At 44.7% G+C, this 23647-nt stretch overlaps 1 protein-coding gene across 3 annotated transcripts, besides 2 other annotated features; it reads left to right on the top strand.

Moving 5' to 3' along the window:
* Nucleotides 4-183: an enhancer, noted in NCBI's record as "active region_11144". NCBI's record gives its function as "activates an Ori minimal core promoter by ATAC-STARR-seq in GM12878 lymphoblastoid cells {active_cell/tissue: GM12878}" and the evidence as "EXISTENCE:reporter gene assay evidence [ECO:0000049][PMID:35858748]".
* Nucleotides 36-19977, top strand: KARS1 (lysyl-tRNA synthetase 1). 3 transcript variants are annotated; one of them, NM_001130089.2, is made up of 15 exons: nucleotides 36-123; nucleotides 3239-3418; nucleotides 5978-6137; nucleotides 7352-7517; nucleotides 11154-11247; nucleotides 11603-11789; nucleotides 11896-12021; nucleotides 13409-13528; nucleotides 15846-16008; nucleotides 16112-16285; nucleotides 16448-16533; nucleotides 17193-17278; nucleotides 18160-18286; nucleotides 18989-19132; nucleotides 19708-19977. In NM_001130089.2, exons 2-15 carry the CDS (start codon nucleotides 3273-3275, stop codon nucleotides 19804-19806), a joined length of 1878 nt encoding a protein of 625 aa, NP_001123561.1. In that variant the 5' UTR covers nucleotides 36-123; nucleotides 3239-3272; the 3' UTR covers nucleotides 19807-19977. The 3 variants fall into 3 exon arrangements, with proteins under 3 accessions (NP_001123561.1, NP_005539.1, NP_001365077.1); NM_005548.3 differs by lacking the exon at nucleotides 3239-3418; NM_001378148.1 differs by lacking the exon at nucleotides 3239-3418 and having other exon boundaries at nucleotides 36-237.
* Nucleotides 17032-18231: an enhancer, noted in NCBI's record as "CDK7 strongly-dependent group 2 enhancer chr16:75663368-75664567 (GRCh37/hg19 assembly coordinates)". NCBI's record gives its function as "activates an origin of replication core promoter dependent on BRD2, BRD4, P300/CBP, MED14 and CDK7 cofactors, with strong dependence on CDK7, by STARR-seq in HCT116 cells {active_cell/tissue: HCT116}" and the evidence as "EXISTENCE:reporter gene assay evidence [ECO:0000049][PMID:35650434]".

Below are 23647 nucleotides of genomic sequence, written 5' to 3'. Positions count from 1 at the left end.
CACCTTGACCTGGAAATTAACGTACTATCCTCCTTACTTTTGGGTCGGGCCCTCCGGGAAGATGGCGGCCGTGCAGGCGGCCGAGGTGAAAGTGGATGGCAGCGAGCCGAAACTGAGCAAGAAGTGAGTGTCGCTGCGAGTCTTTAAAGCCTTTGCGGTAGGAGAGTCTGGGCTGGGAAGCGCCGCGAGGTTCCCACCAAGGCTGCTGTGCCGGGGCCTTCTTGCCGGCTCTCGTGGGTACGCACATGCTGAGACGTGGTGGCTGCGCCCTGCAGACCACGTACCCCGGGATACCCCGGGCACGCCGGCTCCCCGTTCCCAGCTGGCACCGGCGGGATGCTCCCTATCATACTCCTAGAGTTAAGAGACTGTGGAGGAGGAACTAGGACGAGAACTAAGAGTTATCAGAAAAGAAAAGCGAAACTTCCTGCTTAGCTTCATCCTCCTTTCTGAGAAATGCATTCTTTTGTTGAGCCACTCAGTAAACGTGGAAGTTGGAGAAATGTTAAATACCCTAGCTTTTCAGAAAGACCTTCAAAATTTTCTGGGCCTCACTAAGGTCATTCTGAACGTTATGTATTAAAAGGGATCAGTTCTAAAACTGTCATGCATCTACCCGTATGGGTTATTCAGTAGATACCTGTGAGTATTAAGTGATCAACGTCTAACAGTAGAGACCATCTTAATTCAGCCTGATATCTTTGTTAACCACTCCCAAATCCCTGGAGTATGTAGGTTAACATAGATAAGTCAGGATTAGCCACCCTTTAACTGGCTGTCTTATATTCTCATTAGCGTTCCCCATTTGAACCACAGAACACAGGTAATTGAGTGTTTTATCATTGCTAGGAAGATGGTACATAGTACCATTCCAGAGGCATACGAGAGGGCTTAATCCCCGTGGCGCGCACTTGTTATCCCAGCTACTCGGGAGACTGAGGCAGGAGAATCGCTTTAACCCAGGAGGCGGAGGTTGCAGTGTGCTGAAGTCGTGCCACTGCACTCCAGCCTGGGAGACTTGAGGTAGTGGTCCTTCAGGGACTGCCAGAAGTGCTGCGTGAGCGAGCCCTTCTCCATCGCTTTCCCCAAGGAGTTACTGAGACGGAGCCAGACCCTGAATGAAAAAGAAAAGAGAAATGATGTTTCTTTTTTTTTTTTTTTAAGATGGAGTCTCGCTCTGTCGCCAGGCTGGAGTGCAGTGGCGCGATCTCAGCTCACTGCAACCTTCGCTGCCAGGGTTCAAGCGATTCTCCTGCCTCAGCCTCCCGAGTAGCTGGGATTACAGGCGTGTGCCACCATGGCTGGCCAATTTTTGTATTTTTAGTAGAGACAGGGTTTCACCATGTTGGGCAGGATGGTCTCAATCTCGTTACCTTGTGATCCGCCCACCTTGGCCTCCCAAAGTGCTGGGATGACAGGCGTGAGCCTGAGCCACCACCCCTGGCCTGATGTTTCCTTTTGTGTCCCTGGCTTTGTGCTTCAAATATCTTAGAAAAAGTATAAGAGAAATTGTCGAAGTTTATAGTTGGGTAGGACCTTAATATATTGTCCTTTATTAGAGCAATCCGATGGACTTCCATAAAAGTTTGGAACCTGGTCTTTGGACTGCTACCTTAGAGAAAATTGACTTGACTTTATTAAGTCAAATTTAATTGAATGTGGTATATCTGTGATATACGATCCTAAAGTTTAGTTCATTCTTTCAAACCACCTATGATAATCAATTACATTGAATTGAACTTTAGGACTGTATATCACAGGTGAAAGCACGGTTTCCAGTTCAGAGTGTGTTTTTAGGTAAACGGAAAAAACTGGTTAATTCCTCTTTACTGACTTTTTTTTTTTTTTTTTTTTTTTGGAGGCAGAGTCGTTGTTGCCCCGGCTGGATTGCAGCGGTGCGATTTCAGCCCACGGCAACTTGCAACTCCCGGGTTCAAGCAATTCTGGTGCTTCAGCCTCCCAAGTACCTGGGACTACAGGTGCATGCCACAACACCCGGTTAAATTTTTGTGTTTTAGTAGAGACGGGATTTGACCTTGTTGCCCAGGCTGGCGTCAAACTGCTGAGCTCAGGTGATCCGTCCGCCTCAACCCCACAAAGCGCTAGGATTATAGGCGTGAGCCACCACTCCCTGCTTCACTGACTTTTCTAAAATTAAATACAGCTACTACTTTTTTGACCAGCTTTTCTGTGCCAGGCACAATGCTAGATCTCTACAAGCTTTCTGTCTAGTGTCAGTAATAACCTTGCAAGAGGAGTTATTGTCCATTTTTCAAATTAATAAACTGAGGTCCTAGTAATTAAATGCACTATTAAAGTGTGCATTCCTAAAATATAGTCTAGCAGTGATCCAGAGCACTGGAGCACGGATCTGAACTCAGGCCTGTGACTCCACAGTCCATGCTCTGTATCCTGACTGCACAGCACTACTCACGTTGTCTTACCTGTCATTGATGTCTATTCCTCTCGTTACCATGAGCTAAAATAATTTTTTTCTGATTAACATTTCCTTCCGTTTATTGTTCTGGGGAATTCCTTGGTCTGAAATTTTTAGTAAGCACCATTTTGTGCCAGGTATTGACTCCAAGTTTAAAAGCAGATGTGCTCCCTGCCCGAGTGAAATAGCCTCCTCAAATTTATTTGAACACGGTAAAGAAGGTGATCTCTGTAATTCTGTTGCCTTCCAGTGTTGATAATGTATAAACATAACGCAGTCTAAGGACCTTCCTGAAATTCTCCTTTCCCCTTGTTCCTAGAGTTCCAAACAAGTCTTCTCTTTGACACGTATTTTTGTGTGGCTTGCATTTATCTTTGTCTAGAGTTTGCAATTGATAGTGACAGTTTCCTCTTATTTTATATGCTTCCTATTGCCATCTTGTGGCCAGGTATTTCCTCTCCAGGTGAGAAACCACACTTCAGGGCTTCAGAAAGTGCCTCACATCCTGTTCCCATATTCTAGGATGTTGTGAGCAATTTTACCTGTAAGCTATCCATTAACTTGCTGTTGGCTTTACCCCAGATATGCATGTTTTTTCCATAGTCAGGACTAAGAACATTGTCAGTTACAGTTGTAGCACAGAGAGTGTTACAGGGTTGCTATCAGTTAAGACAGTCTTAAGTTAAATGGGACTAAAAGGTAGTAGAAGCATGGTCCCCCTCCCCAACCCATAAGAGAGTTGGTTGGGTATATGTATACTGTCTGTCCCATCTGACACCACATCTCTGTGTTTCCCGCTAGGTGGTGGTAATCATTAGTTCCAGGGTGCTCTGCCATGTTGACGCAAGCTGCTGTAAGGCTTGTTAGGGGGTCCCTGCGCAAAACCTCCTGGGCAGAGTGGGGTCACAGGGAACTGCGACTGGGTCAACTTGCTCCTTTCACAGCGCCTCACAAGGACAAGTCATTTTCTGATCAAAGAAGGTTGGTGCCCATTACCTTCTTTATTGCTCTGGAAGCAAAAATTATTTCCTTACTTGGTTCATTTTCCGTTAAGCCTCTGGCTAAGTCTTTGGACTTGTTGCTAAGGAAACAAGGAGCCCTAATACCAAAACCAATAGTCCTTTCTCATTTTCTCTTTAATAAATTCAAATCGTCTCTCCTTAGAGTCTTGAGATGACATGTGGATCTTATTCTAGAAGAGTGCTAAGAACAAAACCTTTGTTTGAACAAATAATTTCTAATGCCAGCTATTTCCCTTTTCTGTCTTTCTGGAGTTTTGTGTGCTCTTGAGATTAATTTGGTTTCTAGTCTTAGTGCTATCCCTAGGACCTTTTTGGATTATCCTTAAGATTGATTTGATTTAAGAGGAGCACCTGGTTGAGTGGAAAACAGATTTATCTTAATTCTAGAAGAACTAGACAGCCTAATCTTAGCAGTCCACTGACTGAATTATAGCATGATAACACCAGCACAGTGTTTTGGAAAGGTTGTCTTTACAAATGTTATAAGACATTATATGTAGAAAAAGCTGTCAACTTTGAAACCATTCAGAATCTGTTTTTCTTTTTTACAAGATGAAAGATTCGGCCAGGCGTGGTGGCTCACGCCTGTAATCCCAGCACTTTGGGAGGCCAAGACAGGCAGATCACGAGGTCAGGAGATCAAGACCATCCTGGCTAACACGGTGAAACCCCATCTTCACTAAAAATACCAAAAAAATTAGCCGGGCATGGTGGCGGGCACCTGTAGTCCCAGCTACTCCGGAGGCTGAGGCAGGAAAATGGTGTGAACCCGGGAGGCAGAGCTTACAGTGATCTGAGATCGCACCACTGCACTCCAGCCTGGGCAACACAGCGAGACTCTGTCTCAAAAAAAAAAAAAAAAGGTGAAAGATTCAAAACCTCAATTCATTTTTTAAAGTTATTCTAAATTCATATCGAAAATGAAGGATGTGTCCTGAAGCCAGAATGTTTGCGGGCATGACTTGGGATCTTCTGCTGTGGTTCACTATTGCAGAATATTTGATTATGTTCAGCGGTTTGAAAGAATGATCCATAAATTGTCTTTGAATAGTAAAGATATCCCTCCCTACACCAATCTGTTTAGTTTCTGGTTTCAGATAGCAAATTCAGACTATAAGAGACATGAACATATCATACAGAACAGCTCAGAGTTGTCCGCATTACTTTGGTTTTTCAGGTTCAAGTGATAAGTATCAAGAGTTTGGATACCAAGTGATTTAACCAGAAATGTATTTAAATCTATATGAGGCACAGAGAGTAAAGGGTTAAGATACTAAAAGATACCTAGAAAGCTCACATTTGGTTAGCTGAATGCCAGGGTCAGGGTAATCCCTTTATACAAACATTATCTCATTACACACCATAACAACTGGTGGGGGTTGTCTATTATTATTTTCGTTTCACAGGTGAGAAGTTAATTCACTCGTCCAAGTCACATAATTGACAAGTGTGTTGGAATTTAGTCCCAGGCAGCCTGACTACAAAGATGGTATATTACCCCCTGTACTATACTGCTTTGCACACCGTTCTATTTTGTTGTCTAAGTCAGGCTCCAGTGGGCAAAGTGAGACTAATGCTGACAGCCATTCTTGGAGAGACTGTTGGTAGGGGAGGTCTCCTTGAGTGCTAAAGAGCCGGCTCTTCCTTACTATCATCCTAACTCACTCTTAGGGGAGGGATAGAGAGAGGGGGTAGCAGAGGGCTGGAGATGTTGCCTTATCATGTATTAGATCTGGCATTGGAGGGGTCAGGTGGCTCACACCTGTAATCCTAGCACTTTGGGAGGCCAAGGTGGGCAGATCACTTGAGGAAAGGAGTTTGAGACCAGTCTGGCCAACGTGGTGAAACCTCGTCTCACTAAAAATACATAAATTAGTTGACTGTGGTGGTACACACCTGTAATCCCAGCTACTCAGGAGGCTGAGGCACGAGAATCTCTTGAAACCCGGGAGGCAGAGATTGCAGTAAGCTGAGATTGTGACTGCACTCCAGCCTGGGCCACAGAGCAAAACTCTGTCTCATAAAAAAAAAAAAAAAAAAAAAAAAAAAAAAAAAAGACCTGGCACTGTTGGAACTTCACCTTCTAGGGGGATACTAAACAACTAAGATTCAGTCACTGTCCTCAAGGAGCTCCCTAACCTAATTAGCTCAAGAAAAGCCTATTCTAATTTTCTAGAAAACCTTTTCTCCTATTCAAAACTAATGCATAGGATTTTCTTTGTCTTGGTACATCTTGGTTTTAGTTGGGACCTAATGCCAAGGACCTGAGACTGGCAAGCAGAGACTGAGAGTGATTTTTCACATCTTTGTTCTAAGCTTATTTTTCCCTTTGTGTCTTTCACATAAAGAGTTTAGTGACAAGCTACTTGAGCTGAGCTGTGGGTGTGGAATTGAGGGGTATAGAACTGAGCAAGAGCGTTTCTCCTGGGCGATTCATGTTTTTGATAAGTTGCTAGGGGCAGAACATAGAGGACTCTTCAGGCAGCTAACACATTGAACGCTTTCATCTTTCCAACAGTGAGCTGAAGAGACGCCTGAAAGCTGAGAAGAAAGTAGCAGAGAAGGAGGCCAAACAGAAAGAGCTCAGTGAGAAACAGCTAAGCCAAGCCACTGCTGCTGCCACCAACCACACCACTGATAATGGTGTGGGTCCTGAGGAAGAGAGCGTGGACCCAAATGTGAGTTCCCTGGGCCACCAGCATGGTTGGGCACAGGAAAGCTTCTGATGAGGCTTCTGGCAGATTCTTTGGGACTGGACAGTAGGAGGGACCAGTACGCCTGAGGTCACTGCCAGGGATAAGGGAGGGTCTCCCACTGCATCTGGTTAAAGGCACAGACCCTGAGTGTTTTTTATGTCAACCCCCAAAAGGCATTTGAGAGAGTCCAGCATTCAAGTGAATTAACCTTCCTTGGAATTAGCTTGACCTTGAGGCCCCAGGGAAAGTGTCTCTCTAAAGATTGCCTGAGGTTTACTTTAGACCAGGGGCTGGCCAACTACAGTCCACCAGCCAAACCCACTCTCCATGCCCCCACTTTATCCTTCCCTCCCTGGTTTTTTGTTTTTGTTTTTGTTTTTTTGAGGCAAAGTCTCATTCTGTCACCCAGGCTGGAGTGCAGTGGTGTGATCTCACTGCAACCTCCGCCTCCCCGGTTCAAGTGATTCTCCTTCCTCAGCCTCCCAAGTAACTGGTATTAGAGGCGCACACCACTACACCCTGTTAATGTTGGCCAGGCTGGTCTTGAACTCCTGGCCTCAAGTGATCCACCCGCCTCGGGCTCCCAGAGTACTAGGATTACAGGCATGAGCCACCACACCTTGCCCCTCCTTGGTTTTACTAGTAAAATTGTATTGGAACACAGCTGTGCTCATTTGTTTACGTATTTCTGAGGCTGCTTTCCCCCTGAAACAGCAGAGTTGAGAAGTTGCATCAGAAAAGCTTTGTGAGAAAGGCTGCTGTAGAGTATTCCTTGTTTACATTCTCCAGGCCCCATGCCTTGGGGAAAAGTCTGATGTGTCGCCAGAGGTAGGAGAGTAGTTAAGAACATAAGCAGTTAAGAACGTAAGTGACTCGACTCACCATGCAAATGTGGTCTACAAAAGTGACAACAAGGCCACCTGTACCAATTAAAAATTAAACTTTTATGATTTTAGGCAGAACTCAGGTTTTTCTTTTTGTTGACTCTTGCATTTTGAAATGCTGGCCTCTGGCCGCCCTGCATATTTTAAGTGCAAATCTCACTCCATATTCAATCCTGTAATGCAGAGGTCTTGGTTAAAGAAAACAATGTATTGGGGTCACTCGGGGGCAGAATACTGCCCTCTGCTAGGTGGGCCCCACTGGTCTGACCAGGTTCAACTTCTGAAGGGCTTTTTTTTTTTTTTTTTTAACAGCAATACTACAAAATCCGCAGTCAAGCAATTCATCAGCTGAAGGTCAATGGGGAAGACCCATACCCACACAAGTTCCATGTAGACATCTCACTCACTGACTTCATCCAAAAATATAGTCACCTGCAGCCTGGGGATCACCTGACTGACATCACCTTAAAGGTGGCAGGTAGGAACTCTCCCTGGCAAATCACTGAACTCCCACAGCAGGTAGGCCTGCGGCTTCAGTAGCACAAGGGAAGGTCTGGGTTGGTCTTGTTCTCAAGTAGCCTGTGTCTGAAGCTACTTTACTAAGGACAGTGCCATTATATCTATACAGAAAGAAGCAGAGCAGCCCTGAGACATGGAATCATATTCCAGATGAGGTAGTGCTACAAAGAGAGGGGCTTTCTCTATAAGGATTCCCTTCATCAGCAAGAATCAGCGGTAGAAGTCTCAGGCTTCTAAGAATTCCAGTCTTTGGCCTAAGAATGCTTTGCACTGAGACAGTATTTCTAGAACATTGCTCTTTTGGAGTTGTAGTATCTTGGGTGAGATCTTCTTTTCCTAAATTTAAAAAACAAAAAAAAAAAATCACATCTTTTCCTTGCCCTCTCCCACCAAATAGTAAAACTATCAGTTGTAGAAAATTTAGAATAGTCAAAGAAGCACAGAGAGAAGGTTTTGATTACGCATAATCCTACCACCCAGAGAGAATTTCTGGCAGGACCTAAATGCCCAAAAGATTTCTTCTTTAAAGTGCAGTGATTTTACTAAAATCTTTTTTTTTTTTTTTTTTTTTGAGATATAGTCTCACTCTGTCTCCCAGGCTGGAATGCAGTGGTGCCATCTCAGCTTACTGCAACCTCTGCCCCCCAGGTTCAAGCAATTCTCTTGCCTCAGCCTCCCGAGTACCTGGGATTACAGGCACCTGCCACCACGCCCGGCTAAGTTTTGTATTTTTAGTAGAGATGGGGCTTCGCCATATTGACCAGGCTGGTCTCGAACTCCTGACCTCAGGTGATCCACCTGCCTCGGCTTCCCAAAGTGCTGGGATTACAGGCGTGAGCCGCCACACCCTGCCACTAAAATATTTATTGATGTTAGTTATTCTAGTTCAGTATTCTCAGATACACAGTGTGCTCTGAGATCTTTTCACATCTGTGTATTCAGATTTTTTTTTATTTTTTTATTTTTATTTTTTTGAGGCGAAGTCTTGCTCTTGTCCCCCAGGCTGTAGTGCAATGGCGCAATCTCGGCTCACTGCAACCTCCGCCTTCCGGGTTCAAGCGATTCTCCTGCCTCAGCCTCCCCAGTAGCTGGGATTACAGGCGCCTGCCACCACGCCCAGCTAATTTTTGTATCTTTAGTAGAGACGGAGTTTCACCATGTTGGCCAGGCTGGTCTTGAACTCCTGACCTCAGGTGATCCACCTGCCACGGCCTTCCAAAGTGCTGGGATTACAGGCATGAGCCGCTGCTCCCAGCAGATCTTTTTTATTTTAATTGTTTGTTTTTATTCTGTTTCTTGCTTTACATTTCCTTTGGGACTTTTATCTGCATACTGGATCATCTTGATTCTTTTCGATAATTGTCACTTTATCTCAAATCCTTTTTATCTTTCTTTATACTTTGATTTTTAAATTTTATCCTCCTTTTCACTTTCTGTTTCTCTTAAGGCATTATTTGTTGTATTTAGTCACTATTATTTCCTTATAGCTTAGTCTGCATTTTCTGAAAGATTTTTTACTTTATTTCTAATTCTTTCATGTGTTATCACCTCATTTCTTAGTTTTTCTAGTTCTAATTTGTGTTCTTTCATGTTTTGCGTCTTTTTCTTCATGTCTTTCAGCTCATTTTTGAATAGTAAGTTAGAATTTTTTGCTTTTCACGGCACGTACTCACTCATAAGTGAGAGTTGAACAATAAGAACACATGGACACAGGGAGGGGAACATCACACACTGGGGCCTGTCAAGGGGCGGGGGGACCGGGGAGGGACAGGGTTAGGACAAATACCTAATGCATGCAGAGCTTAAAACCTAGATGACAGGTTGATAGGTACAGCAAACCACCATGGCACATGTATACCTATATGACAAATCTGCGTGTTCTGCACATGTGTCCCAGAACTTAAAGTAAAATAAAAAAAAAAAAAGGAACTTTTTGTTTTTCTAAGCATGTCTGTCTTGAGTGCTTTTATTTTGTCTAGAGGGGTGTTATTCTCCTTCTATCTCTCCATTTTTAGTTTTTTAAGTAACTTTATATGGTATGTGAGCCCAGTGCTTTTATGTTGCTTACATTTACATGAAATCAGTTTTCCTGAATGTTCAAAGGAAGCACGGTTTCGTTTTTCCAGTGAGCTCCCTCTTGTTTTTGTGGCATGTTCAGAAATACTGCAGCTTGTTTTTTGAGATTTCCTGGTTCTCTTCTTCTTCCTCACTTTTTTTGGGTCTTCTTTTTTTTTTTTTTTTTGGTCTCTTTTTTCCTTGTCCTGTTAGTTTTTACGGTCTTGTCCTAGAAGGGAGCCTGGCTGTTGAGAGGGTTTCTGTGGGCTCTACTCCTCATTCCCTTTAGATTTTTTTTTTTTTTTTTTGAGACTGAGTTTTGCTCTTATTGCCCAGGCTGGAGTGCAATGCCGTGATCTCAGCTCACTGCAACCTCCGCCTCCCAGGTTCAAGCGATTCTCCTGCCTCAGCCTCCCAAGTAGCTGGGATTACAGGCATGCGCCACCACGCCTGGCTAATTCTGTATTTTTTTTTAGTAGAGACAGGGTTTCTCCATGTTGGTCAGGCTGGTCTTGAACTCCCAGCCTTACGTGATCTGCCTGCCTCGGCCTCCCAAAGTCCTGGGATTACAAGCGTGAGCCACAGCACCTGGCCTCCTTTAGATCTTCTTAATGCAACCCTCACCTGTATGGAAACGGACACATCCCCTCCCTGTTTCAGCTGCTCTCCCCCAGTGAGCCTGGAGGAAAAGGTTCACATTTTCCAGAGGATACCTTTGGCCATTTGGGGGCTTTCCAGTTCTCAGATCCCTCCCATACCCCATTTCTCCCCACTGCTTTTTCCCCGTATAGAGGTCTTATGGCTCTTGGTGGTTTGCCTCCTTGCTTATATTTGGGGGTCCTTGGCAACGTCTTCCCACAGCATTTTGTTGTAAATTTTGTCCATGGATTTTTCGCTTCGCCTCTCTAGCTGTGCTTTCTATTTTTATGTGAGGATTCAGGGAAATCCAAAAACTATGCTGCTACCAGCACCACCATCTTCTAGGCATCCAGTGACTTAATCTTGAAAGCTAGATCCTGAAAGCATGTCTTTAACTGGTTTGAATGGACATTGTTGGTTTGAGGGAAAAGATGGGGATTAAACCTCAAGCTAAAATCAGATTGTACTGCTTTGCATTGTGCCCTGACCAAAAAAAAAAAAAAAATGCAGGCCGGGTGTGGGGGCTCACACCTGTAATCCCAGCACTTTGGGAGGCTGAGGTGGGTGGATCACTTCAGCCCAGGAGTTCAAGACCAGCCTGGGCAACATGGTGAAACCCCCTCTCTACTTTAAAAAAAAAAAGAAAAATTAGCCGAGTGTGGTGGTGTGCACCTGTAATCCCAGCTACTCAGGAGGCTGAAACAGGAGAGTCACTTGAACCTGGGAGGCGGAGGTTGCATTGAGCTGAGATCGTGCCACTGCACTCCAGCCTGGGCAACAGAGCAAGACTCTGTCCCAAAAAAAACAAAAAAAAAAATGCAGAGGGAGTTTTTTTTTGACACTGATACCATAAAATGACTTCTGGTTCTGTCAGTCAGTATTTTTGCTCTTCTTTTTCTAGGTAGGATCCATGCCAAAAGAGCTTCTGGGGGAAAGCTCATCTTCTATGATCTTCGAGGAGAGGGGGTGAAGTTGCAAGTCATGGCCAATTCCAGGTATCTCGAAATACCCAGTTATAGACCTTTCTTGGTTGGCCTAGAGCAACACAGCAATAGGCTGATGTGGTCTTACTGGTATTTGAAGTTAGAGTAAGAAGGAGTGGGACATGGTTGGGGAAGGCTGAGAAGAGGATAATGTGGCCACCTGGTCACCTGTAAAGTAATGACTACTCTCAAGTTATATGACAGTAAAGTAAAGGATAGTCCTTTTTTAATAGTGGCCCCTGAATCTGACGTCCTTCTTGGGCTCACATTAACTAGGTATTAACAGTTGAGTGAGGGTTCCAGAGGAGACCAGTGGTCAGTGTTCATTTGAATTGTTGTTACTGAATTACATTTCTTTTTCACTCAGAAATTATAAATCAGAAGAAGAATTTATTCATATTAATAACAAACTGCGTCGGGGAGACATAATTGGAGTTCAGGGGAATCCTGGTAAAACCAAGAAGGGTGAGCTGAGCATCATTCCGTATGAGATCACACTGCTGTCTCCCTGTTTGCATATGTTACCTCATCTTCACTTTGGCCTCAAAGACAAGGTAAGCGTTCTTGGCCTCCTAGCTGTGGCCTCCTAGCTTTCTGTTTGTTTTATCATACCTTTGGATCAGACATACCAGTGATTTCTAACTGCTGCTTTTGGTTTAGGAAACAAGGTATCGCCAGAGATACTTGGACTTGATCCTGAATGACTTTGTGAGGCAGAAATTTATCATCCGCTCTAAGATCATCACATATATAAGAAGTTTCTTAGATGAGCTGGGATTCCTAGAGGTAAGGAGAGTTCCTTGCCTGACGTGATGAGCTGCCTTGCAATGCTTGCCTCCTCCTCTCCCTTGCCTTCCTTTTCCAAAGCGTATCCTGTGTCAGGATCCTTCATGCCTAATGAGAATGTCCCCTTTTCTTGCCATCGTCTCTGTTCTACCTTGTCCTGATTAGGAAGGCAGGACCTGACTTCCAAGATAATGGACAAGGTATAGGGCCATCCACATGCTAATGATGTCACATTCAATATGTATTCACGTCATTTTGCTTTTTTGTAGCATTAAGAAATATTTTTTGATTATATGAGAAAGGCAAACACACGTACCATAAAACAAATTCAAACAATAAATTAAATAGAAGCAAAACTGAAAGTGCTCTTTCACTCCTTCTGACTAACTTCCCTACCCAAACTTGAGTTTGATATGTATCCTTCCACACCATTTACTGGGCATATATACGTATGTACATATGCATGTTGCAGATGGAGTGCACATATGTAAACATTTTGGAGGAGTTTTATTTTTGGTTTAAATATGAATGAAGTCACACTATGTGTATTGTGATGGACCTGCTTTTATTTCACTTAAGATATTCTGGATCTCTTTGTATGAGATAGATAGATACTCTTTCTTAATGCTGCATTATTTGTTCCAACAAGCATCTTTATACACATGTTCAAATGTTTCTGTAGGATGGATTTCTAGAAGTAGAATAAGTCAAACAATATAAGCAGTTAAAATTTTTTTTAAACAATCAGTTGAGATAACTCACTACCTTCAGACCAGCCTAAATTTTTAATAAATACTGGGAATTGGGCCGGGCGCAGTGGCTCACACCTGTAATCCCAGCACTTTGGGAGGCCGAGGTGAGCAGATCACAAGGTCAGGAGATCGAGACCATCCTGGCTAACACAGTGAAACCCTGTCTCTACTAAAAACACAAAAAATTAGCCAGGCGTGGTGGCAGGCACCTGTAGTCCCAGCTACTTTGGAGTCTGAGTCAGGAGAATGGTGTGAACCCAGGAGGCGGAGCTTGCCATGAGCCGAGATCGCGCTGCTGCACTCCAGCCTGGGCAACAGAGCAAGACTCCGTCTTAAAAAAAATTAAATAAATACTGCAAATTGAACTCAAGAAAGGCTATATCCATTTAGATTCTAATTTACAGCTTGTGAAAGTTCGTGGTACTATATTAATGATATTAGGTATTAATAGAAATTGAGACACTGTCGTAGAAAATCATAGTGTCCTTTTTTGTCAAGCACTTGCACATTACTGTTGAACTTATTAACATTTAGTTTGGGGTATAACAGGCTTAGACTATATTACATGCAAAGCATGGTCTGTCCCCAAGGCCTCTGGTTATCTAAGGACTGATGTTTCTCCCTGCCTTTTTTAGATTGAAACTCCCATGATGAACATCATCCCAGGGGGAGCCGTGGCCAAGCCTTTCATCACTTATCACAACGAGCTGGACATGAACTTATATATGAGAATTGCTCCAGAACTCTATCATAAGGTAGTCAGTAATAGTACACCCTTTTCCCTTAAAGAAGCAGAAAGCTGGAATACCACTGGCTAGATGGGTATAGTCAGAAATAAGAGGAACAGAGAGAGTAAAGCAGCCAAGAAAGTGTTCTGATGGGTCAGGTGTGTGGATGTGAGTAACACTTCCAGAATTTCTCTACAAGATTAATAGAGCATTGTAGGGCAGAGACCAAAGGGGTTGTCTTTCCCATGTATACAGGCACTCCTTACCTACTTTGGTTCCCCTAAAACTTTTAAGATAAAGTCTTACGTGGATTAGATCTGATTTAAGTCTTTCACAGAAGAAAGAGCCTAATCTGTCTGTGGAAGTTGGAAATAAGCATCTTCAGGCCTGGCGCGGGCCTCACACCTGTAATCCCAGCGCTTTGGGAGGCCAAGGCGGATGGATCACTTGAGGTCAAGAGTTTGAAACCAACCTGGCCAACATGGTGAAACCCAGTGTCTACAAAAATACAAAAATTAGCTGGGCGTGGTGGCATGTGCCTGTAATCCCAGCTACTTGGGAGACTGAGGCAGGAGGATTGCTTGAACCCGGGAGGCGGAGGTTGCAGTGAGCCGAGATCCTGCAACTGCACTCCAGCCTGGGTGACAGAATGAGACTTCGTCTCAAAAAAAAAAAAAAAAAAAAGTATCTTCAAATCACTATAAAGATGTCTTGTCAAATTCCCAGGTAAATATTGAAGATTATTATTCAGGATTCTTAGTTGCAGACAACAGAAACTGTTATAACTAGTTTAAGCAAAATAAAAATTTATTCAGCTCTATAGGTGAGGTATTGCTCCTCACAAGAGGGCATTAGCTGCGGGGGTCTGCCTGCAGACCCTGACCTAAACGATGGATGAATAAAACGTACACTGAAACACAGATACTCTGTTTTGCCAGTCCTGCTGAGTGTCCGATCACCTGCACACCAAGAGAGGTGTATTTGTCATTGCGGCCGACCCTGAGCAGCTCTCACTCCAGGCATTTATTTAGTATAGAATTAACAACAGAAGCTTTGAGTAAACACACTTGTGGATAATTAACATCGTAAGAGAGGAGTTCTAGGAATTATTAAAGTCCAGGTACCATGGTCTAAAGTAAATACCATTAGGGAGCAGTATCTTTGGTCAACCTCCCCCCAAGAGGGCCATCTGGCTGAAAGGTTAGTTAATGGAGGTAGGGTAAACAGACTTAACTGGGGAAGCCTCTATTTTCCGTAGTATTTACCCTATGACCTAATGCTGTACGGTAAGAACTGGCTGCCTTCAGCCTGTTCAGTTATTACAAGCTACGTAACCTTTCGGCCTTCCAAAAGGTTTGTGACTATTCCTTATAACTTTCCCCAATATTTCCCTTTAATATTTCTGCCACCATCCTGAGTGAATCCCAACATAGAGGAAGCTCACAGTCCCCAGGAGGATCAGAGAATCAGGCTTGGAAACTATACAACTAGGAATGATTCTGAGTCATATTAGAATGGGCTGTTCTCATGGAGAACCCAGTGTATTTTCCTAGTAGGCACAGTTACTACAGCTCATAATCCTGGCACTAGGCACAAGTCATTGCCGCTAGGACCTCTGCAATCTAAAAGCTACGTGTGACTGGCCCCCTTCACCAGAATGAATTCTATGCAATACCCACATCTTTTGTTAGTAGTTTCCATGCTGAAGTCTCACAAGTGTATCTGACTGGTGGAGCTTGGGTCACACGCCTGCAGCCTAACCCCAAGAGAGGCTGCTTCCTTGGGGAGGTTCAGACTCAATGATGGGGGATGCCCAAGACAGGAAGAGTATCGAGAAGTCCTAGGCAGCCAAAAAAGGGGTAACTATCCACACTACAAGGGTATAAAGAGAGCAGGGTGCTTGGCAATTTGACCAGAGACCTGAGAGTATACCTAACCTGTGAAAACCAAGTTACGGCTTTTGGAGACTGAAACTTCCCAGAGCTGTTAATACAAGATTAGCTGTCATGGGGCCGGGCGCGGTGGCTCATGCCTGTAATCCCAGCACTTTGGGAGGCGGAGGCAGGCAGATCACCTGAGGTCGGGAGTTCGAGACCAGCCTGACCAATACAGAGAAACCCTGTCTCTACTAAAAATACAAAAAAATTAGCCAGGCGTGGTGGCACATGCCTGTAATCCCAGCTACTAGGGAGGCTGGGGCAGGAGAATTGCTTGAACCTAGGAGGCGGAGGTTGCGGTGAGCTGAGATCTTGCCATTGCACTCCAGCCTAGGCAACAAGAGCAAAACTCCATCTCAAAAAAAAAAAGATTAGCTGTCATGACCGTGGCCATGTGTTGTTGTTAGATGCTTGTGGTTGGTGGCATCGACCGGGTTTATGAAATTGGACGCCAGTTCCGGAATGAGGGGATTGATTTGACGCACAATCCTGAGTTCACCACCTGTGAGTTCTACATGGCCTATGCAGACTATCACGATCTCATGGAAATCACGGAGAAGATGGTTTCAGGTGACTCCTGCTCTCTCTCATACTCATCGGGTGGTTGGTATGCTGCTTTCAGAGGAGGGCTGCCTGGATTTCATTCCCGCTAAATAACAGGTTTCTCTCCCAGGGATGGTGAAGCATATTACAGGCAGTTACAAGGTCACCTACCACCCAGATGGCCCAGAGGGCCAAGCCTACGATGTTGACTTCACCCCACCCTTCCGGCGAATCAACATGGTAGAAGAGCTTGAGAAAGCCCTGGGGATGAAGCTGCCAGAAACGAACCTCTTTGAAACTGAAGGTAAAGTGACAACACTCACTCCTCCGTTGTAAGGCCCTCCTTCCTGTTCAGCTCTGAATTTGATTGGGTCAGAGCTAGAATTTCCCACACTATTCTCTTTATGTACATTTTTACTTGGCTAGTGTGATGTCTCCTGCCCTAACTTTTGCATTTGTGTCCCAGAAACTCGCAAAATTCTTGATGATATCTGTGTGGCAAAAGCTGTTGAATGCCCTCCACCTCGGACCACAGCCAGGCTCCTTGACAAGGTGAGAAGGCCCTGCCTTCTTGTACATGTCCTCATCTGGTGCTGAATGGTTCCCTCTTCCCTGGGAAAATGAACCCCACTGGGGAGAGTTCATTTCTGCAGCTTCACAGGAAAACCCTAGAGAGAGAACAAGAGAATTAACAGACTTTTAACTGTCATACTAAGCTCTGTGCCAAATAATTTATGTGTGTGATCTCAGTTAATCCCGTCCAGCTTTTAAAAAGCTATAGGGTAGGGTGGGCATGGTGGCTCACACCTGTAATCCCAGCACTTCAGGAGGCCGAGGCAGATGAATCACCTGAGGTCAGGAGTTCGAAACCAGCCTGGCCAACATGGTGAAACCCTGTCTCTACAAAAAATCCAAAAATGAGCTGGGTATGGTGGCGGGCACCTGTAATCCCCGCTATTCAGGAGGCTGAGGCACGAGAATCACTGGAACCAGGATGCGGAGGTTGCAGCAAGCCGAGATCATGCCACTGCACTCCAGCCTGGGCGACAGAGCGAGACTCCATCTCAATAATAATAATAATAATAATAATAAATAAATAAAAAGCTATAGGATAAACCCATCTGGATGGGAGCTGAGATCTTCTGTCTGGGCTGGGACGATCAAATACTATTCAGAAATGGTGACTGACTCTGCTTTGCTTTCTCATTAAGCTTGTTGGGGAGTTCCTGGAAGTGACTTGCATCAATCCTACATTCATCTGTGATCACCCACAGATAATGAGCCCTTTGGCTAAATGGTAAGATTCCAGTTACCTATTGCTGCATAACAGCCCCAAAACTTAGTGGTGTTAACAATTTATTGTCAAGATTTTGTGGTTTGACTGGTGGTCTTTCTGCTGGGTGGTGTTGACCAGGGTAACCCAAGTGGCTTTTTTTCAACTGGGGATTCTGCCAGGGCACTTTGGTTCTCCTCCACGTGGTCACTCCACATACGATCTTATCCTCCAGGGCCTCTTCATGTGGCCTGTCTGGCAGCACAGCCTGGGCTTCCCTTCAGCATGGTGGTTGGGCTCTAAGGGGAAGCTTCCAAAAGAACAGACCTCATTGTGCAAACACGTATCAAGCCTCTGGTGATAACCCATTGGCCAAACCAAGACATGTTGCCAGCGCAGAGTCCAGGTGAAGGAGACTACACATGGGCATGAATGCAAGAGGTGTGGTCCATTTTAACAGTCTGCCCGCTGGCCTGTTAGGAAGATCATTAAACCTTCCTGGTCTCTCTCACCCTCCTCACCGTTGTACCAAATGATTTGTTGCTGAGACTGCATGCAGGCTTCTGACTGCAATCAGTAACACTTTTGAGTCCACTAGAATTCAATTATTGTATTAGATGTTTGATCGTTAGACCAACCTGGCCAATATGGCGAAACCCTGTCTCTACTAAAAATACAAAAATTAGCCAGGCATAGTGGCATGGGCCTGTGATCCCGGCTACTCAAGGCTGAGGCAGGAGAAGTGCTTGAACCCAGGAGACAGAGGTTGCAGTGAGCCGAGATCACACCACTGCACTCCAGCCTGCGTGACAGAGCGAGACTCCGTCTCAAAAAAAAAGAAAAAACAAAATTTAGCTCATTAGGGGCCTCTATATTCAGCCTCCTCTTTGGTCTCCTGTCCCTAGGCACCGCTCTAAAGAGGGTCTGACTGAGCGCTTTGAGCTGTTTGTCATGAAGAAAGAGATATGCAATGCGTATACTGAGCTGAATGATCCCATGCGGCAGCGGCAGCTTTTTGAAGAACAGGCCAAGGTGAGAAAGGGGACTGTGAGCAGAAGCTGTGCCAACTCACCAGGAAATACCAGCCTTAACCCTGATCTGTGTCAGCGTATACGTTCTTGGTGACTTCAGAAGTGAAAGATAAAGCCATAGGCTTGCTGGAGGAGTCACATTTCAAGATGGTGACTTCATCTGGTATTGAGTCTGTCGTACATAAGAGGAACTTCATTATTAATCTCCGTATGGAAAGCGTGACGCTTGCCTTGAAAATACACTTGCCAAGCAAGAACATTATTTTCTTAGATTGTACATGTATTAAGGTGGCTTAGGGCTGGGAGGTAGGTAGAGATGAATGGAGAAGACAGAACCCCCACAGGCTGCCTGCAGCAGGTGTTGACAGGGCTGTTTTCAGGAAATGGGAGAAAGACTCTTGTAATTGTCACAGTCTCTGAGAATTAACCTGTTTGGAGTCCCAGAGCCCCAAGCAGCAGAAGGGTTTTCTTTCAGAGAAATTTGTATGTGTTCTGAGGTCGATTTCATCAGTCCTGACCTCCAGGTCTTTGAAAGAAACGGCTGCATCTTGGAGTTACTAGGAAATGAATTCCCAGCAAGTCCTGAGTGTCAGGAGCATCTCTGGAATGATGGTACTCCCACCTCGGAGCCTGGTAACATGTTCACTCACACACTGAGATATCTTAGAAGAAGGTCACCTTTTGGTTCTCTTTCCTCTTCTAGGCCAAGGCTGCAGGTGATGATGAGGCCATGTTCATAGATGAAAACTTCTGTACTGCCCTGGAATATGGGCTGCCCCCCACAGCTGGCTGGGGCATGGGCATTGATCGAGTCGCCATGTTTCTCACGGACTCCAACAACATCAAGGTACGTAGCAACCCTCCACAGAGCACACTTCCTGAGGAAGCTGCATTGTGTTGGAGCCAGGGCATGGTGGGCCTGGAGGATAAAATTAAGGAAGGGCTTTGGGCTGGGAAGAGGAGCAGGCAGAGGAGTTCCATGCCACTCACAGGAGGGCCAGAGCCTCTGACCTTAAAGGATTTGGGTTTTTTCCTACCAGGGGCAGAAGGAATACTAATTGTTTGCATTTCTTGAGGATCCAGGGAAGTCTCCGTGCATTATTTCAGCTAATTAAGTCAGCCTTATGAGGTGTAGAAACTGTTGTTTCCCATTTTTATAGATGAGGAAATCAAATTTTCATAGAAATGCGTCTATTCATCCTTTTGACATAGTGCCCTAGGCAGTGCTATGCATTTGTTCTTTGTCATCTGTAACTTGAGAGGGTCTGAGTTGAAATAAAAGAACACATGAGCCTTTTCAGCTGGAATATACTAATCTCTGGATTTTGGTGGTAACAACAGAGGCAAGAGGAATGGGTAGATAGCTGTGAAAAAATGTTGAGAGTGCTTCTCAGCTTCAAGGTACATTCTTATCTCCCACAGGAAGTACTTCTGTTTCCTGCCATGAAACCCGAAGACAAGAAGGAGAATGTAGCAACCACTGATACACTGGAAAGCACAACAGTTGGCACTTCTGTCTAGAAAATAATAATTGCAAGTTGTATAACTCAGGCGTCTTTGCATTTCTGCGAAAGATCAAGGTCTGCAAGGGAATTCTTGTGTGCTGCTTTCCATTTGACACCGCAGTTCTGTTCAGCCATCAGAAGAGAGACAAGGAATTAAAAATTTCTTTTTAATCCTGTTACCAAATAAGCCATTTGTCTCTTCTCTTTACTTTTAGAATATCAACTTTTTTCCCCAGACTTCTGGCCTAATGAATGTTTAGGATTTTACCATCTTATTCATTTAACAAATTTGTATTAATGTCTGCCCTGTGCCAGGCATTATTCTAAGAGATTGGGGACACAGCAGGGAACAAAAGCCAAGTTCCTGCTTTTGTGGAAATTGTATTCTTTCTTTGGGGTAGGGAGAAGAAGTAGACAAACAAAAAAACAAGTAAATACATGTTCTTTCTGGTGGTGGTATATACTAAGAAGAAAAATGGAGCAGGGTAAGGGGACAGAGGTGCTATTTTAGAGGTGGAAGGAACAGTGCTACTTTATGGTGGTCAGGAAGACCTCTGCTGGGCATTTCAGTAGAGGTCTGGAGACTGAGCTGGGGAGGTCTGTGGGAAAAGGCCATTCAGACTAAAGGACCATGTTTTTGAGGAATGGCAGAGGGTCTGGTGTGACTGGACAGGGATGAGTGAAGGTCAGTGAGGGGCCAGATCACGCAGGCCCCTGGAAGCCACTCAGAAAAGTATGTGTTTTCTGAGGGAAATGAGATACCATGGAAGGATTTTGAGCAGAGGAGTGTTTTTCAAGGATTATTCTAGTTTCTGTGTGGAGGACAAGAGCAACGAAGGGAGACCAGCTGAGCATTCACCATGGGCTGAGGAGACAGTGGCTGCGACGTGCATGGACCAGTGGAAATGGTTACAAGTGGTTGTACTTTGCCTGTGTTCCTGAGGGCAGAAGAATTTGGTGATGGGAATGTGGGTTGTGAGAAAAAGAAGCCAAAAATGATTTCAAGGTTTTGGACCTGAACAGCTGGAAGAAAGTTGCCCTCTACTGAGATGGGAAAAACAGGAAGTTCAGGTTTCAGAGGGAAGGTTGGAAGTTTGGTTTTGGACATGTTAAATTTGACATGCCTGTTAGCCAGATGGAAATAGCAGAATGTTGAATAATGAATCTGAAGTTTTCTCATTATTTTCAGCTCCATTCAATAGAGCTAAGAACGTGACAAGGGTGTGGCTGAGAGCCTGCCATCAAAGTGGAGCCCCTCTTTCCTGACACGGAGACAGCTGGGAAGACCTTTTTTCACATGACGGAAGACTTTACCTTCTGCACCTCAGCAAAACCTCTGCAAGCATCCCAGTTTGGGAGCAGCCAGTCTCCTTTCACAGAGCAGGTTTCTGTTTCTGTAGCTGGTAAAACAACCTAAGCATTCAGAATTGCCTAAATGAACTACCTCAGGCAGTGAGGAACATCCCTACCCCTGCTGGTGTTTAAGCAGTACGTGACCAGGTGGCATTTCAGAAGAAACATTTTCAAATGGCACATCCTCAGAAAGGGAGTGGTAACTAAAACGGGAGATAATCATCTCACCAAGGGAGGTGGTGGAAGGTCAAGGACAGGTAAGGGACTAGGTTTCAGGTAATACTGTCAATGCAGACAATTGAAAAAGGCTACAAGGATTGATGATATGAGTGACTTTACAAAGTGGTTTAATGGAAGGATGGAGGCAGAATCCAGCTGTCTGGTCTTAAGGAGGCTAGGGATAGAAAGGAACTGAGGCAGCAGTAGACAACTTGTATGTGAGGGTTGGCAGGAAAAATGACCGAGTGTGAAAGCTAGAAGGGACAGAAGGGTCATAAAGTCCCCATTTCTCTTCAAACAGTTGCAGGCTCACAATTTGCTAACTGCTTTGCTGGGGTGAGCAGAAACAGGCGTGGTCTCAAACTTCATCAAGCATCTACACTTGTAAAGAAAATAGATAGTAATAAATCATCCTCCAAAATTGTATAAAATGGCAGCTCAGGTAAATGGTTTGAAGGAGAGGTCCACGGGGTGTTGAGAAGCTATAATGGACATGGACCTAGTTAGAGGAGGTTTCTCTGAGGACATGAGATCTGAAGGGAAGAAGGCTTTCCGTGGTATGGCAACAAGTGCAAAAGCCCTGTGGTAGGAAGGGACATGGAGACCAGTGAGAGTATAGAAGCCCAAAGAAATATGGCACCAGGTGAGGCAGGAAGGGGCTGGCCATGCAGGACTGTGAGCACTACTATGGGATTTTTGTCTGTATTTTAAGAGTACTGGGAAGCCAGTCGGGCATGGTGGCTCACGCCTGTAATCCCAGCACTTTGGGAGGTCAAGGCAGGCGGATCACTTGAGGTCTGGAGTTTGAGACCAGACTGACCAACAGGGTGAAACCCCGTCTCTACTAAAAATACAAAAATCAGCCGGGTGTTGTGGCATGTGCCTGTAATCCCAGCTACTGGGGAGGCTGAGGTAGAATTGCTTGCCCCTGGGAGGCGGAGGTTGCAGTGAGCCGAGATTGTGCCACTGCGTTACAGCCTGGGTAGGAGAGTGAGACTCCATCTCAAAAAAAAAAAAAGTACCGAGAAGGCATTCACTGAAGTATTATTTAAGCAGTAAATGTGTAGTAGTCACAAATCTGACACCAGATTTGCAGTTTGAAAAGATTAGTCTTGCTGCTCTGTGGAAAATGAATTGGAGTTAAGCAAGAAAAGGTGGAAATTCAGAGATGAGTGTAGCAATCCAAGAGGAATACGATAGTGGCTTTTACTAGCGTATTGGCATGCAAGTGGAGAGAAATGGATGGATTCAAGAGATAGGAAGTAAGATCAACAGGACTTGGTAATGGATTGCACTAAGGGGATTAAGGGAAGGGAGATAACAAGGAACATGACTCACTTTTTAGTTACGCAACTAGATTGCTAGTAATACCAATCCCTGAGATAAAGAACCCTAGAAGAAGGTCTTTGATACCCCTTACCCCCACTGGAATATTTCTTAAAAGACAGAAGAGGCAGTCACTTGCAGATTAAAGATATTGGAGAGGAATGAGGAGCAAAGTCTTTGGCCTTGGAGGAGGGCCATGTCCCATTTCCTTTGAACTAGAGAGAAGGATGGGGTTGAGCAAGTTGCATAAATTTTTGAGGGGTAACAAAGAAAAATGAATTCTTTCATTTTTAGTAATAGAGCATTCAGTTACTGGGTGACAAAGGCCCCTGAAGTATCCAGGCAGCTATATTACTTATTCCCGGCAATCCAAAGGTTTTTAGACCTGTTCTGCCCACTACACTGTAGTAGTACTGTACTACAGTAGCCAGTAGCCACATGTGACTATCCAGCATCTGAAATGTGGCTGATCCAAATTGGGATGTATTCTAAGTGTAACACACACCAGATTTCTTAAACTTCGCATTAAAAACAGAACAGAACATAAGTATTTTTTAAAATATTGAGACTCGGCAGCCAGGTGCGGTGGCTCACGCCTGTAATCCAGCACTTTGGGAGGCCGAGGCGGGCAGATCACGAGGTCAGGAGATCGAGACCATCCTGGCTAACATGGTGAAACCCCGTATCTACTAAAAATACAAAAATTAGCCTGACGTGGTGGCAGGCACCTGTAGTCCCAGCTACTCGCGAGGCTGAGGCAGGAGAATGGCGTGAACCTGGGAGGCGGAGCTTGCAGTGAGCAGAGATTGCGCCACTGCACTCCAGCCTGGGTGACAGAGCGAGACTCCGTCTCAAAAAAAAAAAAAAAAAAAAAAAAAATATATATATATATATATATGAGACAGACAGACCGACCCCGGGCATCGTGACTCACGCCTGTAATCCCAGCACTCTGGGAG

This window comes from Homo sapiens, chromosome 16 (genome assembly GCF_000001405.40).
Source record: "Homo sapiens chromosome 16, GRCh38.p14 Primary Assembly".
Classification (NCBI taxonomy): domain Eukaryota; kingdom Metazoa; phylum Chordata; class Mammalia; order Primates; family Hominidae; genus Homo; species Homo sapiens.
This window is presented reverse-complemented; position numbering and strand designations above follow the sequence as displayed.

Bases quoted from the DNA above. Each gene is read 5' to 3' on its own strand.
- KARS1 (NM_001130089.2), top strand. From the start codon at position 3,273: ATGTTGACGCAAGCTGCTGTAAGGCTTGTTAGGGGGTCCCTGCGCAAA. The intron at 16,286-16,447 runs GTAAAGTGACAA...TTTGTGTCCCAG, and splicing joins GAACCTCTTTGAAACTGAAG to AAACTCGCAAAATTCTTGAT. The intron at 18,287-18,988 runs GTGAGAAAGGGG...TTCCTCTTCTAG, and splicing joins TTTTTGAAGAACAGGCCAAG to GCCAAGGCTGCAGGTGATGA.